Below are 21,701 nucleotides of genomic sequence, written 5' to 3'. Positions count from 1 at the left end.
AGGTTCCCAGACCTCAGTTCTTGGCTTCTGTGCACCTGCAGGCTTAACACCATGTGGATGCTGCAAAGGCTTGGGGCTTGCACCTCCTGAAGCCATGGCCCCAGCTGTACCTTGGCCCCTGCTAGCCACGGCTGGACCAGCTGGGATGCAGGGCACCAAATCCCAAGGCTGCACACAGCAGGGGGTCCCTGGACCCAGCCCAAGAAACCATTTTTCCCTCCTAGGCTGCTGGGCCTATGATGGGAGGGGCTGCCGCAAAGGTCTCTAACATGCCCTGGGGACATTTTCCCCATTGTCTTGGTGATTAACGTTTGGCTCCTTATTACTTATGCAAATTTCTGCAGCTGGCTTGAATTTCTCCCCAGAAAATGGGGTTTTCTTTTCTATCACATTGTCAGGCTGTAAATTTTCCAAACTTTTATGCTCTGCTTCCTCTTGACGCTTTGCCACTTAGAAATTTCTTCCACCTGATACTATAAATCCTCTCTCTCAAGTTCAAAGTTCCACAGACCTCTAGGGCAGGGACAAAATGCCACTGGACTCTTTGCGTAGCAAGAGTGATCTTTATTCCAGTTCCCAATATGTTCCTTATCTCCATCGGAGACCACCTCAGCCTGGACTTTATTGTCCCTGTCACTATCAGCATTTTGGTCAAAGCCATTCAACAAGTCTCTAGGAGGTTCCAAACTTTCCCACATTTTCCTGTCTTCTTCTGAGCCCTCCAAACTGTTCCAGCCTCTGCCTGTTACCCATTTCCAAAGTTGCTTCCACATTTTTGGGTATCTTTACAGCAGCACCCCACTCCTGGTACCAATTTACTGTATTAGTCTGTGCTCGTGCTACTAATAAAGACATACCTGAGACTGGGTAATTTATAAAGGAAAGAGGTTTGATTGACTCACAGTTCCACCTGGCTGGAGAGGCTTCACAGTCATGACTGAAGGCAAATGGGGAGCAAAGTCACATCTTACATGGAGGCAGGCAAGAGAGCTTGTGCAGGGGAACTCCTATTTATAAAACCATCAGATCTCATGAGACTTAATCACTACCACCAGAACAGTATGGGGGAAACTGCCCCCATGATTCAATTATCTCCACCTGGCCCAGCCCTTGACACATGGGGATTATTACAACTCAAGGTGAGATTTGGGTGGGGACACAGCCAAACCATATTATTATCCCTCAAAATAGCCTGTATTCCCCCATCTCCCTCTCTTCTGTGAAGAGGGAACTATGTAAGCTCCATCTGGCCCTTCCTTGAGTCTCATATTTTACATGGCTCCATGCTTATGCAAGTTAATAAATTTGTTTGCTTTTCTCCTATTAATTTGTGTAATGTCAGTTTATTTCAGTGGGATAATTCACTTATTGAACCTTCAGAGGGAAAGTTTAAACTTCCCTACATTAAACACTTTTTCTTGACACTGGTTTGAAGAGCAGTGACTCACCTTTACCTGATTCTTTGTTTGATTCCAGAGCCCTTGGACTTTTATGTTTGTTTTCTACCATGACATCACAAACCACGAGTTTGTTGATGCTTCGTAAATGTGGAAAGATGCAGCACAGATTTAGGAGAAATATACCCAGAGATGTAAAGGGGAAGGAGACATTGGCCAACCAGAAGATCATCCTCATTCCTCAGTGAAGGAGAAAGGCCTGACTCCTACCTTGTGTAAGGGAACTAAGGGAACTGGCTAGGTATCAGTATAACAGAGTCACCAAGTGATTCAAGATTTACTGTCCCCCTCTGAGGAAATAAACAGAGGGCAAGCAAAGAATACAGGCCAGAATAGTCTGCTAGACAAGACCACAATGTGGAATCACAGCCATCCAATGAGGTTTGAGAGAAACCCAATAAATAATATCCCTATGTTCTCTGCCCAAGTTTTAAACCAATCAGAGAGATTAAGGTGTCAATAAATGAAGATTAAAATGTCAGCTCAGCCTGGGCGCAGTGACTCACGCCTGTAATCCCAGCACTTTGGGAGGCTGAGGCGGGTGGATCACCTGAGATCAGGAGTTTGAAACCAGCCTGGGTAACATGGCGAAACCCCGTGTCTACTAAAAGTACAAAAATCAGCTGGGCGTGGTGGTGGGCACCTGTAATCCCAGCTACTTGGAAGGCTGAGGCAGGAGAATCGCTTGAACCCGGGAGGTGGAGGTTGCTGTAAGCCAAGATCGCGCCATTGGACTCCAGCCTAGGCAACAGAACAAAACTGTGTCTCAAAAAAAAAAAAAAAAAAGTCAGCTCAATTACTGATGAAGCTGTATTGGAAAGAATTGGCTTTGGGTACAAGTAATTAGTGTCTTCCTAATACTGAACCCTAGAATCAGGACTCACAGCTAGACAGCCAAAGACTCTACACAGGGGGCCCTGCCCCTTTGAGGCCTATTGCAGCACACTTTCATCCAACAGAAAGAGCAAAGAAGAGCTGGATTAAACAAGCCTAAGTAACCGCCCATATTCACTGATTACATAAATCACTCCACCTCTCCCAGGAAGGAGGAGGGTGGGATTAAAGAGGCTGGCAGTCTTAAATCAGTTGCTGTCCCTCCACATGGCAGGAAAGAACAGGAGTGGGAATTACCTAAACCTTTTATAAGTGCTGGGTAAAGCATATGCTACATAGACCAAATCTAGAGCAGTGTGGGGTGGACTCTGCTTTGTCCCTTTGCTGTTTGCTGAGTAGTCTGCTCAGAGATGCACTTGTCAATGGCTCTTCAGCATCTCACCACCTAGCTCTCACCAGGGGTCCGGGTAGTTATGGTTCCTTTTATTTGTTCACTTTCTAAAAAAAAATTTGACTTTTTGTGAATATTTGAATAGATACAAAATAGTTTCTATGCGGACTTAACATGGAAAGGGAGATGGTTGCATTTTTGGTGACATTACAACGCATACACGCATGTGTGAATGTGTGTGTCACACCGAATGATATTGTCAATGCTGGGCTGATGCCAAATTTAAGGAACATGGAGAACTTGGGAAAAGGCCAGAGATAGAGAAAAGATTGTTAATGGTTTGTTTATAGGGAAGAAATGGGTTTGCCCTAAAATAAATGCATACTAGAAGATGAAAATGACAGTGCCCAGGTAGAAACTGGCAAAAAGGGTTCTCAGAGCAAAAACATGGGACCCATTTTGGATATAAGTCCTAACTTCACTATTGCTGGTTTTGTAACCTTAAGCAAGACACTTGAAATCTCCAAGCTTCAATGCACTGAACTACAAATGGAAATAATGCTTACCTGCAGATTGTTGCAAGGACTAAATATAATGCACATCAAATGCTAGGTATGATGCCTGGTGATAACTGGCACTTAATAAGTGGTAATTAATATCATTATTAATATATAATATATAATAGTATATTATATATTTATAAAATATATATATATATATATATATATATATATTTTTTTTTTTTTTTTTTCAAAGGATGACCTGATGGTTAACTTTAGGTGTCAACTTGGCTGGATTAAGAGATACCTGAATAGCTGGTAAAGCATTATTTCTGGAGATTGGTATGTGAGTCAGTGAATTGAGTGGGGAAGATCTGCCCTCAATGTGGGCAACCTGAATAGAATAAGGTAGAGGGAAGGTGAATTTTCTCTCTCTCCTGGAACTGGGACACCCCCTTCTTCTCCTGCCTTTGGACTCCAGGTTATCTGGCCTTTGGACTCTGGAACTTGCACCAGCAGCTGCTTTGGTTTTTAGGCCTTCAGACTGAGAGTTACACTATTGGCTTCCCTGGTGCCGAAGTGTTTGTACTTGGACTGAGCCATGCCACTGGCTTCCGTTGGTCTCCTGTTTGCAGATGGCCTGTCATGGGACTTCTCAGCCTCCATAATTCTGTGAGCCAGTTCCCCTAATAAATCCTCTCTTCTCTTTATCTTTCTCTCGTTCTCTTTCTCGCTGTCTCTCTCTCCCCTATTGGTTCTATCTCTCTAGAGAACCTTGGCTAATACGGATGGTGAACAAGTCTTTGTCTCTTTTGAGGAGGATAAATAATTACAGGATAAATAATTTAAATATTTAATTATTTATATATAATATAAATATATTTAATATAAAATTATTTTTAAATAATTATTTAAATAAATAAATTATTAAATATTAAATAAATATTAAATAAATTAAAATAAATAATTTTTAAATAATTATTTAAAAATAATTAAATTAGCCTTAAGAAACTTGCTAACCGAAAAGTTGAGTTTTCTTATTTAAGAAAGTCATTGCTGTTTCTTTGGCTTATGTTTAATTCAGATAATCAAATGCTTATTAAGCATCTACTGTGTGCCAGAAAGTGTGATGCATACTGAGAATACTGAAATGCAGGTGGCTGATGAAATGAACCCCTGCTCTTTAGATTCCTGCAGTTCAGGATAGATGCCCATTTGTCTGAAATGTGGTAAGCATCTCCTACTTAAATCTTTAGCTCCAACAGACCATCACCATTTGGCCACCATAGTTTCGCCAACCTCAGCATATCAATTGGTATCCGCATTTTTTAGACCCTTTTCAAGAACCTCAGAGAACAAATCTAGCCATGTGCTATACGGCAAAAGCCAAACAAAGCATGTGAAATGGGTCCTTAAGGTATAGCTTTTGTACCATCTACCCTTTGGCATCCAAGGTCGCTTTTAACAATGCTGCCCATAACTCTGTGCAGAATGCCTCCTGCCACAGCATGTAGGACTTCTACTCACAATACCTAGCAGCACCTCTAAGCATCACCACAGTCCATCCAACTGGTCACAATTAAGATAAGATCTGAGCTGCTTTCCGGAGATCTGTAAGATTCTCCAAAATAGGCCAAAGACGGCTATAAAGCCTCACACTATGCATCATTTACTCAAAGCGGTCATCCAAGCATAGAACCTGATCTGACTCACCTTTACCACAGTTATCACCTGATCCTCACATAAACTCAACAAATAGCCCTTTTGGAGTCCAGAAATAAATACCTGCACATATGGTCAAATGATTTTCCATAAGGGTGCCAAAACCATTCAATGGGGAAAGGACAGTTTTTTCAACAGATAACATTGGGAAAACTGGATATCAACTTGCAAGAGAAATTGGACCCCAAATTTATGCCAGATACAAAAATTAAATCAAAATGGATTGAAAACCTAGATGTAGAACCTAAAACTATAAAACTCTTAGAAGAAAACAGAAGAAAAACTTCATGACATTGGGTTTGGCAATAATTTCTTGGATATGACAACGAAAGTACAGACAACAAAAGAAAAAGAAAAGTTGGACTACAACAACATTAAAAAGTTCTGTGCATTAAAGGACACATCAACAGAGTAAAAGGCATCCCACGCAATGGGAGAAAATGTTTGCAAATCATACATCTGATAAGGGTTTAGTATCCAGAATATATGAAGAACTCTTACACCGGGCATGGTGGCTCATGCCTGTAATCCTAGCACTTTGGGAAGCTGAGGTGGGAGGGTTGCTGGAGCCCAGGAGTTCAAGACCAGCTTGGGCAACATAGTGAGACCCCTGTCTCTACAAAAAAAAAAAAAAAAAAAAGAACAAAATTAGCTGAGCATGGCGGTGTGCATCTATAGTCCCAGCTACTTAGGAGGCTGGTGTGGGAGGATCGCTTGGGCCTTGGAGGTCAATACTGCAGTGAGCTGTGATCGCACCACTGCACTCTAGCCAGGGTGACAGAGTGAGATCATGTCTCAAAACAAAAAACAAAACAAAACAAAAAATACTCTCACAACTCAACAATAAAACCCTCAATTTTAAAATGGGCAAAGAACTTGAATAGACATTTCTCAGAAAATGTTATACAAATGGCAATAGCATATAAAAAAATGCTCAATGTCATTAATCATTAGGGAAATGCAAATCAAAACCACAATGGGATACCCCCTCAAACCCATTAGGATGGCTACTACCAAAACCCAGAAAATAATAAATGTTGGCAAAGGTATGGAGAAATTGGAACTCTTGTGCACTGTTGATGGGAATGTAAAATGGTGCAATAGCTATAGAAAACAGTATGGTGGGCCCCCAAAAAATTAAAAATAGAATTATCATGTGATTCAGCAATTCTTAGCATATACCCAAAATAATTGAAAGCATGGACCTGAGGAGATATTTGTACATGCATGTTCATAGTAGCATTTTTCACAGTAGCCAAAAGGTGAAAGTAACCCAAGTGTCTTAGTCCGTTTTGTGTTGCTGTAACGGAATACCTGAGACTGGGTAATTTATAAAGAAAAGAAATGTATTTGGCTCATGGTTCTGGAAACTGGGAAGTCCAAGGGCATGGTACTGGCAAATGCTTGACGTCTGGTGAGAGCCTTCTTGCTGTGCCATTCCATGGTGGAAAGTGGAATGGCAAGAGAGCATGAGAGGGAGAAAAGGAGGTCAAATGAATCCTTTTATCAGGAGCCCACTCGTGTGATAACTGCTTTAATCCATTCATGAGGGGAGAGCCCTCATGACCTACTCACCTCTTAAAGGTCTCAACACTGTTGAATTGGGAATTAAGTTTCCAACCCATGAGCTTGGGGAATACATTCAAAGAATAGCACCAAGTGTCCATCAACAGATGAATGTATAAGCAAAATGTGATATATACATAAAATGGAATATTATTCAGCCTTAAAGAGGAAGGAAATTCTGACACATGCTACAATATGAATGAACCTTGAGGACATCACGCCAAGTGAAATAAGCCAATCACAAAAGGAAAAATATAGTATGATTCCACTTACATGGGGTACCTGGAATAGTCAAATTCATAGAGATGGAAAATAGAATGGTGGTCACCAGGGCTGGGTGACAGGGGGATGGGGAATTGTCACTTAATGGGTACAGAGTTTTAGTTTTGCAAGATGAAAAGGGTTCTATGGATGATATTGATGGGCCCAATATTGATGGTAGCACAACAATGTGAAAGTACTAATGTCACTGAATTGTGCACTTAAAAATAGTTAAGATGGTAAATTTTATTATATGTGCATTTTACCACAATTTTTAAAAAAGCAGCTAGCGGCCAGGTGCAGTGGCTCACGCCTGTAATCCCAGCACTTTGGGAGGTCAAGGCAGGCGGATCACGAGGTCAGGAGTTCAAGACCAGCCTGTCCAATATGGTGAAACCCCGTCTCTACTAAAAATACAAAAATTAGCCGGGCATGGTGGTGCGTGCCTGTAGTCCCAGCTACTCAGGAGGCTGAGGCAGAAGAATTGCTTGAACCCGGGAGGCAGAGGTTGCAGTGAGCCAAGATCCCACCACTGCACTCCAGCCTGGGTGACTGAACGAGACTGTGTCTCAAAAAAGAAAAAAAAAAAAAAGCAGCTAGCCCAGTGTTCAGTCTGGCCTTCCAAAACTATGAACTTCTGCCCTCTATTTCTAGCTCCCTGGACTTGCCATCCACTTTTTTCTTTCTTTCTTTCTTGTTTTTTTTTTGTTTGTTTGTTTTTTGTTTTTTGAGACAGAGTCTCACCCTGTTGCCAGGCTGGAGTGCAGTGGTGCGACCTTGGCTCACTGCAACCTCCACCTCCTGGGTTCAAGGGATTCTCCTGCCTCAGCCTCCCGAGTAGCTGGGACTACAGGTGCATGCCACCATGCCCAGCTAATTTTTGTGTTTTTAGTAGATACGGGGTTTCACCATGTTGGCCAGGATGGTCTCGATCTCTTGATCTAGTGATCAGCCCGCCTTAGCCTCCCAAAGTGCTGGGATTACAGGCGTGAGACACCGTGCCCGGCCGCCATCCACTTTTTATATACACCACGCTGTTTTCCACCGTTTCTCACTATGGCCAGCCGATGTCGACTGTGCCTGGCACTGTGCATATACTCTTGTCATCCAGTCCCAGAGGAAGGACTTAATTATAAGACATCCTGGACTCCCACCACCACAGAACCTTCTCATAACACTCCACCCCACAGTATGCTCTGGGATCATCACAACTCTTTGCCAAGCAAACCTGGGAAAGTTCAGCCCTTCCATTACTCCTTGTGGTTGGTGATGGACAAGTGGAGAGAGCCTGAAGCAAAGGAGTTACACATGACCTCCCTCTTAGTGTGCCTGGCACACCATAGGAGAAAAACCTCAACATTCTTTGAGGGTCAAGTTTGGCATTTTAAGAACTATATTTTTTTCTGTCTCTCCAGCCTCTTACTTTTTTTTTTTTTTTTTTTTTTTTGAGACAGAGTCTCATTCTTTTTCCCAGGCTGGAGTGCAGTTGTGTGATCATAGCTCACTGCCACCTCAAATCCCTAGGCAGAAGCAATCCTCCTGCCTCAGCCTCCTGAGTGGCAAGGACTACAGGCACATACCACCACACCTGGCTAATTTTTAAATTTTTTTTGGTAGAGATGGGATCTCATTTTGTTGCCCAGGCTGATCTCAAACTCCTAGGCTCGAGCAGTCCTCCTGCCTCAGGCTCCTCAAGTCCTGGGATTACAGGCATGAGCCACTGCACCTAGCTGCCTCTTGATCTCTGACCAAAGTGCTCATTTCCCATTTTCTGGTCTTAAATCTCCCTTCAGAGTTCATGCTCATCTTCTTACCTATGACTTCAGCTTATCTGTTATTTCAATCCAAATGTCACCTCCAACTGCATAGCCTAAAGCTTGGTGCTAGGGAGTGTCACTCACAGCAGGCCCTTCTGGACTATTATGACATGACTGCGGTCACATACAGCAAACCTGGGAGGTAGGAGGCAATATAGGTAAGTCCATGCTATCAATTTAGCATTTCGTTGACTGTAATTCATGTTTAGATGAGGCGACTCTCTTAGCCCATTTGGGTTGCTATAACAACAGAAATGTATTTCTCACAGTTATGGAGGCTGGGAAATCCAAGATCAAGGCACTGGAGGATTTGGCCAGATATGGTGACTCACACCTATAATCCCAGAACTTTGGGAGGCTGAGGGACAACTGAGCTCCTTCAGGACTCTTTTATGATGACACTAATCCCTTTAGTTCTCATGACCTAATCACCTCCCAACAGCCCACCTTCTAATACCATCACTTTAGGGGTTAGGATTTCGACATATGAATATTAGGGGGATACAAACATTCCAACCATAGCAGTGACCAAGTTAAAAATTTGGGTCATAGGCTAGGCGCAGAGGCTCAAGCCTGTAATCCCAGAACTCTGGGAGGCTGAGGTGGACAGATCACTTGAGGGCGGGAGTTTGAGACTAGCCTGACCGACATGGAGAAACCCCGTCTCTACTAAAAATACAAAAATTAGCCAGTCATGGTGGTGCATCCCTGTAATCCCAGCTACTCGGGAGGCTGAGGCAGGAGAATCACTTGAACCTGGGAGGAGGAGGTTGCGGTGAGCCGAGATTGCGCCATTGTACTCCAGCTTGGGCAACAAGAGCGAAACTCCGTCTCAAAAAATAAAAATAAAAAATAAATAAATAAATAAATTGGGTTGTATTAAAAGAGGTCCTGGCCGGGTGTGGTGGCTCATGCCTGTAATCCCAGCACTTTGGGAGGCCGAGGTGGACGGATCATGAGGTCAGGAGTTCAAGACCAGCCTAGCCAACATGGTAAAACCCCCTCTCTACTGAAAACATAAAAAATTAGCTGGGTGTGGTGGCAGGCGCCTGTAATCTCAGCTACTTGGGAGGCTGAGGCAGGAGAATTGCTTGAACCTGGGAGGCAGCGAGCCAAGACTGCACCACTGCACTCCAGCCTGGGTGACAGAACAAGACTCAGTCTCAAAAAAAATATAAAATAAAATAAAAGAGGTCCTATATACTTTTGTTTTTACCCTTTTGTTAAGGTTAAAAAAAAGTTTTTTGTTGTTGTTGTTAGTTACTTGTCTCTGGCCCCTCTACTCTGGAATTAACCACCTGTCTTAATTTTCCTAGATCCTTTTTATAAGGTGGTTTGCAGACTATTAGCGTTAACATCACCAGGAGAGGCTGTTAGCAATTCGACCTCGCAATCTCCAACTCAGGCCTAGCAAATCAAGATCTGCAGCTTAATAAGATCCCCAGGTGATCTGTATTACATTAAAATTAGAACCGTTCCAGAAAGATTCTAACTGCTCTTGTTGGAACAATGGGTCTCTACCCTCATTGTTTATTGGAAGAACCTGAGAAGCTTTTAACACATACTGATTTGGCTTGGCACAGTGGCTCATGCCTATAATCCCAGCACTTTGGGAGGAGGAGAATTGCTTAAGACCAGGAGTTTGAGACCAGCCTGGGCAACATAGCAAGATTCCATCTCTACACACACCCCCAACCCCCCACCACCCCCAGGCAAAAAAATAAGTCCAGCATGGTGGCATGCGCCTGTAGTCCCAGCTATTTGGGAGGCTGAGGTGGGAAGATTGTTGGAGCCCGGGAGTTCAAGGCTGCAGTGAGCCATGATTGCTCTGCTGCACTGCATCCTAGGCAACAGAGTGAGACCCTGTCTCTCTCTAAAAGCAATAAGCAAACCTACTGATTCCTGTGATCCACCACCAGATTCTGATTTCATCTATCTATGGGAGGCCTAGGCATTGGTGTGTGTTATGTTTTTGCATTTTTTGTGTCTGTTTTTGTTTGTTTGTTTCCTCTGTACAGATGATGTTTTTTATTCTCTAGGAGATTTTGATGGTTAGCCAGGCTTGAGAACCACTGAGTTATGACTAAGAGAAAAATATCATGGAGAATACCATGGATAGTGAGCTCGTTTACAGTTGTAAAAAACAGAGTCAGATTATTAAATTTGAGTAGGTCTTAACCTTAATATATGACTATTAATGTGAAATTACAGATTGTATGTAGAAGCAATTTCTCCCCTAAAATCTTCCTCTCTGATTCTTTATATTTCTCTTGTTTTCTATTTCCTTAGTCCCTAGGGTATGTGTCTCAACAGCTCTTAACCTCTATTAAATAGTGTCCAGGGCTTCCAACCAAGTCTCGTGAGAGGGTCATGCTCCTGTCCCAGTGCCCAGAGCTGGTGCTGCTTCCTGCTGCTGCTGAAGCCCCAGCTGCAGAGCACTGTTGGGATCGGCCATCACCACCACCTTGGTTGCTGGTGCGATGTTCGGTTGATGCCCGTAGAGACTCACAGTGCCCTGAAGTGAGCACATGATGCTTTTACATACTCCCTGCAAATCAACCTTGTGGCCGTGACATAGCAGCCCCAACAACCAAAACAACTTTGGTAGCCCCATCAATCTGTGACTTCTAAATTTTCTTTAGCATCTTCCCATGTTTTTGCTTTTTTTTTGGTTTTTTTGGTTTTTTTTTTGAGACAGTCTTGCTGTGTCGCCCAGGCTGAAGTGCAGTGGTGCAATCTCAGCTCACTGCAACCTCCACCTCCCAGGTTCAAGCTATTCTCCTGCCTCAGCCTCCTAACTGGGATTACAGGCATAGGCCACCACGACTGGCTAAATTTTTTTTTTTTTTGTATTTTTAGTAGAGACGGGGTTTCACGATGTTGGCCCGGCTGTCCTCGAACTCCTGGACTCAAGTGATCTGCCGTCCTTGGCCTCCCAAAGTGCTGGAATTACAGGCGTGAGCCACTGCACCTGACCTCCATTTTCCTCTGGTCTTTCAGAGAGCCCAGGCAGAAGCTATTATCATCAAAGGTAGGTTTAAGATTAATGAGTCTCCCCTGCCAGCTGGGTCGCACGTCTCCTGAGGACATGCTTTGCTGTTTGTGATCACAGGTGAGTAGATGAGGGTCTCCCTGTAAGGCTATGTAAACATTTACATATTTACTCATATTCTTCATTTTCATCCCAGAAACTAATTTTTAGCAGATTTAAAGCAGATTTTTTAGTCAATGTTAGAAAACATTTTTTAATGTATGAAAGTGAAATTCAATGTAATTAATTTATTAAATCATAATTGAATTCCTGCTGTTTCCATCACCGGAAAATGACTACCACGTTTTCCATTGTTATTTGAAATACTCGTCTTCTTTATAAATATTTTGACATTTTTTGAAATGCCAAGAATATGCATGGTGTGTGCCATGTAGTCAAGAATTAGTGCTTTTGCTTTGGCATAAAGCAAATTTCAGGTGGGGAAAGGAGGCAGTTGATAATGCAGATTTTAAAAAGTAGAATTAGGCTAAAATAGTTATTTTTATTAACATAATCTGCTTCAAGATAGGGTCCTAACAACTTAATTTCTCTGCAAGAAATGTACCCTAAATGATTGTGGGTCACTTTTGGAGTTGAAAATTCTGGCTCCTAATTAAATATGTGTGATTGAGCAAGTCAGTCTTTTTCTGCCTCAGAGTATTTATCTGTAAAATTAGGAAGTTGCACCAAGAGTCTGATAAAGCCCCTTCCAGCTCTAAAAGTCAATGATTCTATGAATGCTCAGCTACATTCTGTATCACCAAAAGGTAGAAACGGTATCTTCTATTTTTTCCTAACTCCCGATTTTGCCATCATATGGAAAACAACAAAAATAAAGGTAATTAAAAATAGGAAAGAAATGGACTTAAAATTATGCCATCTGACGTCTCAGGCATTTTCATTTTATGTTCCATTCTGGTCCTTGAACATATGTATACATAATTTTACATAGTTCCAATCATAAAATAGGTAAAATGTTATATTTGGCCTACTTCACTTAACATTATGTAACTTTAATATTATCATTATCACTGATAATTATAGTTTAAATGGCTACATGGTACTCCATTTCATTGATGTATCATAGTTTACTTTAAAAGTCCCTATATTTGGAACTTTAGACTGCTTTCAATGTTTGATACCATAAAGAAGCTACAGCAAATTTTTTATTCATATGGCTCTTTCTTTTGAATAACTTTCTAAGAATAAATTTCTAGGAGTGTAATTACTGAATTAAAGGGAACCTCTTTACCATTGTTTATAAGTATCAGCAAATGGCTTTCCTGAAAGCTTACACTGATTTACATTGTTGCCACCATATCTGAGAGTGATAGTTTAAGCCTCCCCAAAGGTGCGGTATGAAATTACTTAATGTTTTAATTTACATTTATTTGATTACTGGCAATCTTGAACATTTTTTCATTTGAGATTGCATTTTATCTTATGTGAATTGTCTGGTTGTGCCCTTTTCCATTTATCTGACTGTGAAACCATAGGTGAGTCACTTAACCTCTCTGGGGCTTGGTTTTCTCATCTATAAGCAGGATAATAATAATTTCTATCTCAGAGATGTTGTATGGATTTCTCAATGTAAAGTGTATACAATAGTACTTGATATATGGAGAACCTTTTAAAAAAAGTACTAATTGTATTAGAACATTCCTGATTTTCATTACAATTTATGATTTCCTCTGGTCTTTGTATAAATGCATAATATCTTTGATTAACTTATAAGGCAAATCTTTATATAACATAGATGTAATCATTTGGTCTGCTGGGTTTGGCTAAGTGTCTTTCTCTGTTGTTTTAATTTCTGTATTGGTTTTGCGTGTATGTTCAGACATGCACATATGAGTGTACGAGTATGTATTTTCTCACAAGTCCAGAAACACAGAGTCTATGCCAAAGGGGCAGCTCATAAAAATGCTGACTGCCTGACAGTGCTCAGAATGGTGCAGTCATCTCTGTTGAATAACTGTTCAACCAAATCGTTTAGAAAAATAACAAACAAGCAAAATCAAACCACATACATACACACACTCACAAAACCAAAACCAAACCCAAACCATGCACATACACACATGCACATTACAAACAAATGTTTTAAGCCAGAGAGATAAAAGAAATTGTAAACCATATAAATTATTTCTCTTTAAGAATAATTGATTTTGTTGTTGTTGTTGAGACTGAGTCTTGTTTTGTCGCCAGGCTGGAGTACAGTGGCGCGATCTCGGCTCACTGCAACCGCTGCCTCCCGGGTTCAAGCGATTCCCCTGCCTCAGCCTCCTGAGTAGCTGGGACTACAGGCATGCACCACCACGCCCAGCTAATTTTTTGTATTTTAGTAGAGATAGGGTTTCACCTTGTTGGCCAGGATGGTCTCGATTTTCTGACCTCATGATCCGTTCGCCTCGGCCTCCCAAAGTGCCAGGATTACAGGCATGAGCCACCGCGCCTGGCCGTAACTGATTCTTTATATATAATTGTTGCCTAATTCCTAGCATACTGAGATCCTATTTATTTATTTATTTATTTATTTATTTATTTATTTATTTATTTTCTGAGATCTAATTTAGACCATGGAGAAGAAAAACAAAAAGGTGGTATTAATAAACTGCTTTGGGGAGTAAAAGAACCTCTTAGAATCCACGACATCATGGATGGAAGAGATCCTTAAGGAGGGAATGAAGCACAGCTCAGAGTGGGAAGGTTAGCAATGTTCAAGACCAAAGTTAATCATCTCTACATGAGTCAATTGAAAGAAAAGAATTAAAAGCATTAAAAAAAAAACAATATGAGTAATGGGAGGAGCTGATGAAGCCTGCTGCCCAGATGAGGATTGGAAACTATTTAAACTGGATAATACAGTATGTGTTTTAGCTCTGAGAAAACAGAAGTTGAACTTTTGAGTAGTAATCAAGGGCACGGTCTCAAAGTATTTGCAAATAGTGCTGGTATGGAGAACAGATGCCGACATTATTGCCAATGGGAATCACAATGTGATAGTTGGAGTGAGAGACTAAAAGAAACCACAGGGAATTTTTGCAGAAAGCTTGGCATTGAACATGATTTATGGTTGATTTAAGAAGGAGACAAGGAAAATAAGGCTACAGTGTATACCATCTGACTGCTGCGGACCAAGGATGTAAACAGTTAGCCATGGCTCTCCAACCTCCTGGAAATCAGGATTCTGCTCATACAGAAAGGCGCCAGAATGTTTGTCTGAGTTAAGTGCATACTTCTTTTTTAGTATCTAAGAATAGTTATCCTCCTTTCCTCTCCCATTACTGCTTGGGTATCCTTAAAAATCCTCACCAGCTATTAAGTATCATGGAGTTACGCAAAGAGGTCTGCAGGGAACTTGATGGCTTCCCAAAGTGGATCAGAGAACCTCACAGGAGGCCCTAGGCTTGAAAGGTGAGCAGCTCTATTTTGTTGCTCTCATGTGTGTGATGTACTTTTATGTTAGAAAACTGAGGTTTGGAGGATTTAAGAGAGTGAGGTGAATCTTCCAAAAATATCTAACAAAGTATGCTGAGAAGGTAAGTTAGAGCGGAAAATACGTGACCATTCCTTGGCCTTGGGTCACTTAAGTTATAACCTCCCTTCAGAGAGTAGAGAACAAACATTGCCTCTGAGACAAAAATAACTTCTTTTTTGTTTGTTTGTTTGTTTGTTCTGAGAGAGGGTCTTGCTCCGTCACCCAGGGTAAAGTGCAGTGGCATGATCATGGCTCACTGCAGCCTCAACCTCCTGGGCTCAGGCAATCCTTCCACTTTAACCTCCCAAGCAGCTGGGACTACAGGTGCATACCACCACGTCTGGCTACTTTTTAAATTTTTTGTAGAGACAGGGTCTCCTTATGTGGCCCAGGCTGCTCTCAAAGTCCTGTCCTCAAGCCATCCTCCCACCTTGTCCTCCCCAAGTGCTGGCATTATAGGCATGAGCCACCATGCCTGGCCAAAATAAGAACTTTTTGAGCTATTCTATAGGGCGTCTGAGTTTTGAAACGGGAAAAGAGAGCTATATTTGACTAAAAATAGTAGGATTTTCATGTGAGAGAGACAATCTAGAGGGAGGTCAGTGCTGGTCCTCAAATCCTTGGGACTACTAGAGAAATGGGCTCATATAAGGGGAAAAGATGAAAAACAATAACAACCAAAATGTTGCCAAAGGTTAGAAACAATGAGCTTTAATACCTGGCCAGTGACAATGCTTTCTGAATAGCAAAGGAGACAGATTAGATGAGGAAAATAAGGTTAGGCTTTGTGCCCAGGAACCTGAGCCACTGAAGCCTGTCAGTGGCCAGAGTTCCATTACCTTAGGAAAATGGCTCCAGGCTCTCTCAGTATGTCTGTTTATAGGCATTCTCCCCGCATTCATATCTCACCCTTATTTCCTAGTTGTGTTTCCTTTGAAAACTTATACTCCTCGAGCCTGTGCTAAGACTGCAGAGGTCCATCCAAACCTGGACCACAGTAACTAGCGAGATCCAAGTGCACCCTTGGTGTGCAGGGTGCCTGTCTCAGGAGCATAGTCAGAGAACAGCTGATACAGCGAGGGTAGATGGAAAGGTGAAGATTATGTCTGTCTGCCTGCATTGTCCTCTCCACCCTCTTGTTTTCTTGGCAGAATCCTTGATCATTCAGGATCTGCTCAAATGTTAATATCTATTATCTCTCTGTAAACCCCATTGATGGAAAGAGCTCTATTCCCACAGCATCTTGTACACAGCATTAATTATGCATTTGCTGCATTATTTTCTAATGGTTTGTGTGTCCATCTTTCTTACTGGACCATCAACTCTAAGATGTTAGGGACTGTATTTTGCATCTATCTCCAGCCCTAAATCAGTATCCAGAACTATATTGTGCCGTATGGTAGCTGCCAGCTACATGTGGGTATTGAGCAGTTGAAATGTGATAAATTCCAACTGAGATTGTTGTGAGTGTAAAATACACATCAGGTTTTGTCAACCTAGTATGAATAAGAGAATGTAGGCTGGGTACAGTGGCTCATACCTGTAATCCCAGCATTTTGGGAGGCTGAGGCAGGCAGATCACTTGAGGCCAGGAGTTCAAGACCAGCCTGGCCAACATGGCAAAACCCTGTCTACTAAAACTACAAAAAATTGGCCAGGCATAGTGGTGCATGCCTGTAATCCCAGTTACTTGGGAGGCTGAGGCTCAAGAGTCACTTGAACCTGAGATGCAGAGGTTGCAGTGGGCCGAGATCACACCACTGCACTCCAGCCTGGGCAACAGAGTGAGACTCTGTCTCAACGAAAAAAAAAAGAGAGAGACAGCCGGGCGTGCTGCCTCAGGCCTATAATCCCAGCACTTTGGGAGGCCGAGGCGGGTAGATCACCTGAGGTCAGGAGTTCGAGACCATGCTAGCCAACATGGGGAAACCCCGTCTCTACTGAAAATACAAAAATTAGCTAGTTGTGATGGCAGGTACCTGTAATCCCAGCTACTCAGGAGGCTGAGGCAGGAGAACCACTTGAACTCAGGAGACGGAGGTTGCAGTGAGCCGAGATCTCGCCACTGCACTCCAGCCTGGGTGACAGACAGAGACTGTCTCAAAAAAAAAAAAAAAAAAAAAAGGGAGAGAGAGAATGTAAACTATCTCACTAATAAATTTTTATAATGATTACATGTTACAATGATAATGTTTGGGATGTATTGTGTTAAATAGGATATATTATTAAAATTAATTTTATCTGCATCTTTTTACTGTCTTTCATGGCTACTAGAAAATTTAAAAGTATATATATGGCTCCTGTTATCCTTTTATTGGGCAGGGATGGTCTAGAACATAGTAGAGGCTTGAGTCAGGGTCTTAGCAGGCAAAAGAAAATACATTCATTTTGGATTTTGAAGAGATGTTAATGAAGGGGCAGTTTACAGAAGTGTGGGCAAGGTTAAGGAAACCCACAAAGGATGCTGAAGCACCAAAAGACTAGCAAAAGAGGGGAGCAGTTAGCCTACAAAGGAGAGGAAAAGCCGTTACTAGAGCTGGTGAGCACTGGAGGTGCCTAAGAGGAGCACCCAGCAGGAGCTCCAGTTCCCGTCACTGCCAGAACCATGCCTTGCTCCCACTGGCTGTAGGGAATCAGAAGCTGGAAGGCAGAGATCCTGGATGATGCAGCCCTTAGGGGACCGCTCCCACCACCCTGGGCAGAGAAGAATGGAGAATAGGTGAGGGCAGGAGGAGAGCATGGGATAAAGAGTAATGAGCACAGAGCTCAGTACATTTGTTCAGTGAATGAATGAAACGAAACTAGTCACTAAGGAGAGAATGGAGGACGGTGGAAAATTAACTTTTTCCCATCTGGAATTATTTTGCAGTAGTGCTTTTCAAACTGTTCTGTGACACTGAAGAGTTTAGTGAAATTATGTTAGGGGTTCCACAGACATTTCTTTCTTGTTCTAAATATGTATATTTCTAACTATTAAAATACTGTCCTTGAGGATGGGCGCGGTGGCTCACATCTGTAATCCCAGCACTTTAGGAGGCCAAGGCAGATGGATCACTTGAGGTCAGGAGTTTGAGACCAACCTGGCCAACATGGTGAAACACCATCTCTACTTAAAATATAAAAATTAGCTGGGCATGGTGGCACATGCCTGTAGTCCCAGCTATTCGGGAGGCTGAGGCAGGAGAATTGCTTGAACCTGGGAGGCAGAGGTTGCAGTGAGCTGAGATTGCAGCACTGCGTTCCAGCTTGGGCAACAGAAGAAGACTCCATCTCAAAAAAAAAAAAAAAAAAAAAAAGAACTTCCCTAAAGCACAGGAACATGCACATCCAAACGTGTTATATATCAAAATTTTTAACATATGGGAAACAGGTCACACGTCAACTTGTGCTGCCAGGTGAATTTTTGTGCAAGCCTAAAAACAAGAGTTCCTCCTGTCTCTTTTGTGCTTTTATTTGAACATCATTTTTTATTCTTTTAATTTTTCTAGTCAGTCTCTGCTTATCCATTAATTGAATATCTTAAACGTGTCACTAATTAATTTTTAGGTCTGCATTAGTCTTTTAGAAAAATTCAGGTCTACACGTGTCCGTTTATATAAAATTGCACACATTTGTATACCATTGTAACACATGGGCACAGGTCAATTAAATGCTGAGCAATGTTCAGGAATGTGTATTTGACACGTGTTCATGTCTCATCATGTATCTCACTTGCTATCATGTTTATGTAAAAATGATACATTCATGTTAAGGAATTCTACAATAGCGGATACTGTAGGAATTCAATCTGAAATGCATTTCTGGCTATTTGCATTTGATGTTCCCTATGCCTTGAAGATATTTCCTTCAGCTCTTGGTAAGGCTGAGATTAAGATGTTCCTTAGTTCTATTTATCCTTTTTATCCTTTAGCTTTTAGCTGAAATGTTTCCTCCTTGGGAAAGGCTTCCCTGACCACCTAATCACTTAAGTAGGTTCCCCTCCCCATTCTCTCTTTAAGCCTTATTTCAGCCTTCATAGCACTTATCACAATTGGTAACTGTTTTACATAATTACCTCTTTATTGGTTTTCGCCTGTTTCCCTAGCAAGAATTTAAATTTCATCAGTGTAGGGATGGGGTCTCTACTTAGCATGGGTCAGGGACTATTTGAGCTTTACCCATATTCATTCATCTACTCACAATCACCTTGTGAGGGCCCCTTTGAAAGACAAGGACACCGAGATGCAGAGAGGGTAAGTGGCCTGGTCAAGGTCTCCTAAGCTATTATATGAGAGAGCCAGGATTCAAACCCAGGAATCAGTGGGGGCCCAAGAGTACAGCAGCATGTTAATATTAAAGGCTTCCAGCTCCAGGTCACGAAGTGCTAACAAAAACACCGGATTTTTTTTTTCTTTTCTTTTTTTTTTTTTTTTTTTGAGATGGAATCTCGCTCTGTCGCCCAGGCTGGAGTGCAGTGGTGTGATCTCCACTCACTGCAACCTCCGCCTCCCAGGTTCAAGCCATTCTCCTGCCTCAGCCTCCTGAGTAGCTGGGATTACAGGCACCCACCACCACGCCTGGCTAATTTTTTGTATTTTTAGTAGAGATGGGGTTTCATTATGTTGGCCAGGCTGGTCTTGAACTCCTGACCTTGTGATCTGCCCACCTTGGTCTCTCAAAGTGCTGGGATTACAGGTGTGAGCCGCTGTGCCTGACCAGGCTAACATTTTTTGAAAGCTTCCCACGGTGCTGGGTTATGTGAATTATTTTTACTATTACAATAATCTTATGAGGTAGGTACTATTATCCCAATTTACAAATGAGTTGAGACCTAGAGAAATTAAGTACCTTTCCAAAGATCACCCAGCCCAAAAATGGCAGAATGAAGATTTGAACCTATCCTCCTAACCATCTTGCCCTATCACCTGCCTGGAATTCCAATTCTCCTACACGCTACATGGTACCTTGTGTCAGACCATGCGTGGACATCGATTTCTCATCCATGAGTTGGAAGAATATGTATTTGCTGGGCCAGATGCAGTGGCTCATGCCTATAATCCCAGCACTTTGGGAGGGCAAGGCAGGTGGATCACCTGAGGTCAGGAGTTCAAGACCAGCCTGGCCAACATGGTGAAACCCCCTCTCTACTAAAAATACAAAAAAATTAGTCAGGCTTGGTGGTGCACACCTGTAGCCCCAGCTACTTGGGAGGCTGAGGCAGGAGAATTGCTTGGGAGGTGGAGGTTGCAGTGAGCTGAGATCATGCCACTGCACTCCAGCCAACAGAGTAAGACTCCATCTCAAAAAAAAAAAAAAGTATCTGCTGAGCACGTCTGTGTTCTCTGGGTGGAGAGCTGGAGGGTGGGTATATGTAGATGAGGTGTATTAGCAGAGGTCACCAGGAAACCTTTTGCTCATTCTAATCTAGTCCTGTCCTCTCCAAATGGTGTTCTTCTTGGGCCTCCCAGTTTAACATTGTCATTTCCCTGTGGAAATGCTGGGAAACACAATGTGTGGAAATTAAACAATATACTCCTAAATAACCCATGGGTCAAAGAACAAAGAAGAAATCAAAAGAGAAATTAGAAAATAATTTGAGAGGCAAAAAGTACTTTGAAAAGAGGAAAAATGAAGACACAACATACCAAAACTTAGGGGATGTAACTGAAGCCTCCTGTGTACAGAATAGAAGGGACTTCAAAAAGTTCATGGAAGATTATTAAATTAAAAGATAAAAATGAAAAATATAAGCTTTATTTTTCAACATAAGCTTCATCAAGCCGAAGACACTTTTGTAAACAATGATACCAGCCATTTAGTCTTTTCCTAAAGAACGTAGGGTCCTGGGAATGTAACCACGTCAAGGCAGTCTTTTTTTTTTTTCTTTTGAAATGGAGTCTCACTCTGTCACCCAGGCTGGAGTGCAGTGGCATGGTCTCCGCTCACTCCAACCTCCACCTCACGTGTTTAAGCAGTTCTTCTGCCTCAGCCTCCCAAGTAGCTGGGATTACCGGTGTGCACCACCATGCCTGGCTAATTTTTTTTTTTTTTTTTTTTTTTGTATTTTTAGTAGAGACAGGGTTTACCATGTTGACCAGGCTGGTCTTGAACTCCTGGCCTCAAGTGATCCACCTGCCTCAGCCTCCCAAAGTGCTGGGATTACAGGCGTGAACCACTGCACTCGGCCAGGGCAATCTTTTTTGCATTGTCAACTGAAGAAAAATGGATGCACTGTAAAGGATATTTTTAATTTTTATTTTTAGAAGCAGGGTCTTACTCTGTTGCCAGGCTGGAGTGCAGTGGTGAGATCATAGCTTACTGCAACCTTGAACTTCTGGGCTCAAGCAGTCCTCCTGCCTCAGCCTCTCAAGTAGTTAGGAGTACAGGTGCATGCTGCCACACCCAGCTAATTTGTTAAATTTGTAGTAGAAATGAGGTCTCACTATGTTGCTCAGGCTGGTCTCGAACTCCTGGCCTTAAGCAATCCTTCCCCCTCAGCATCCCAAAGTGTTGGAATTACAGGTGTAAGACACCAGGCTCAGCTAAAGACTTTTTAAGATTATGAAACAGAAAGAATTTCAGGGCTGGGCACGGTGGCTCACCCTGTAATCCCAGCACTTTGGGAGGCCGGGGCAGAAGTATTGCTTGTGTCCAGGAGTTCA

At 42.2% G+C, this 21,701-nt stretch overlaps 1 long non-coding RNA gene across 2 annotated transcripts in view; it reads left to right on the top strand.

Moving 5' to 3' along the window:
* The first annotated feature begins 11,450 nt into the window (after window positions 1-11,450).
* The window catches only part of LOC105373737 (uncharacterized), a 35,515-nt gene continuing 25,264 nt past the window's right edge, over window positions 11,451-21,701 (top strand). Inside the window, exon 1 of one of the 2 annotated variants that reach the window (XR_923573.3) lies at window positions 11,451-11,579. This is a non-coding gene — a long non-coding RNA (uncharacterized LOC105373737). Of the gene's footprint in view, window positions 14,997-21,701 lie in introns of both variants that reach the window. The other variant, XR_007087295.1, reaches the window with a different exon arrangement.

Source organism: Homo sapiens, chromosome 2 (genome assembly GCF_000001405.40).
Source record: "Homo sapiens chromosome 2, GRCh38.p14 Primary Assembly".
NCBI classification, from domain to species: Eukaryota; Metazoa; Chordata; class Mammalia; order Primates; family Hominidae; genus Homo; species Homo sapiens.
The sequence above is the reverse complement of the archived record's forward strand: the minus strand, read 5'-3'. Positions and strand labels throughout refer to the sequence as shown.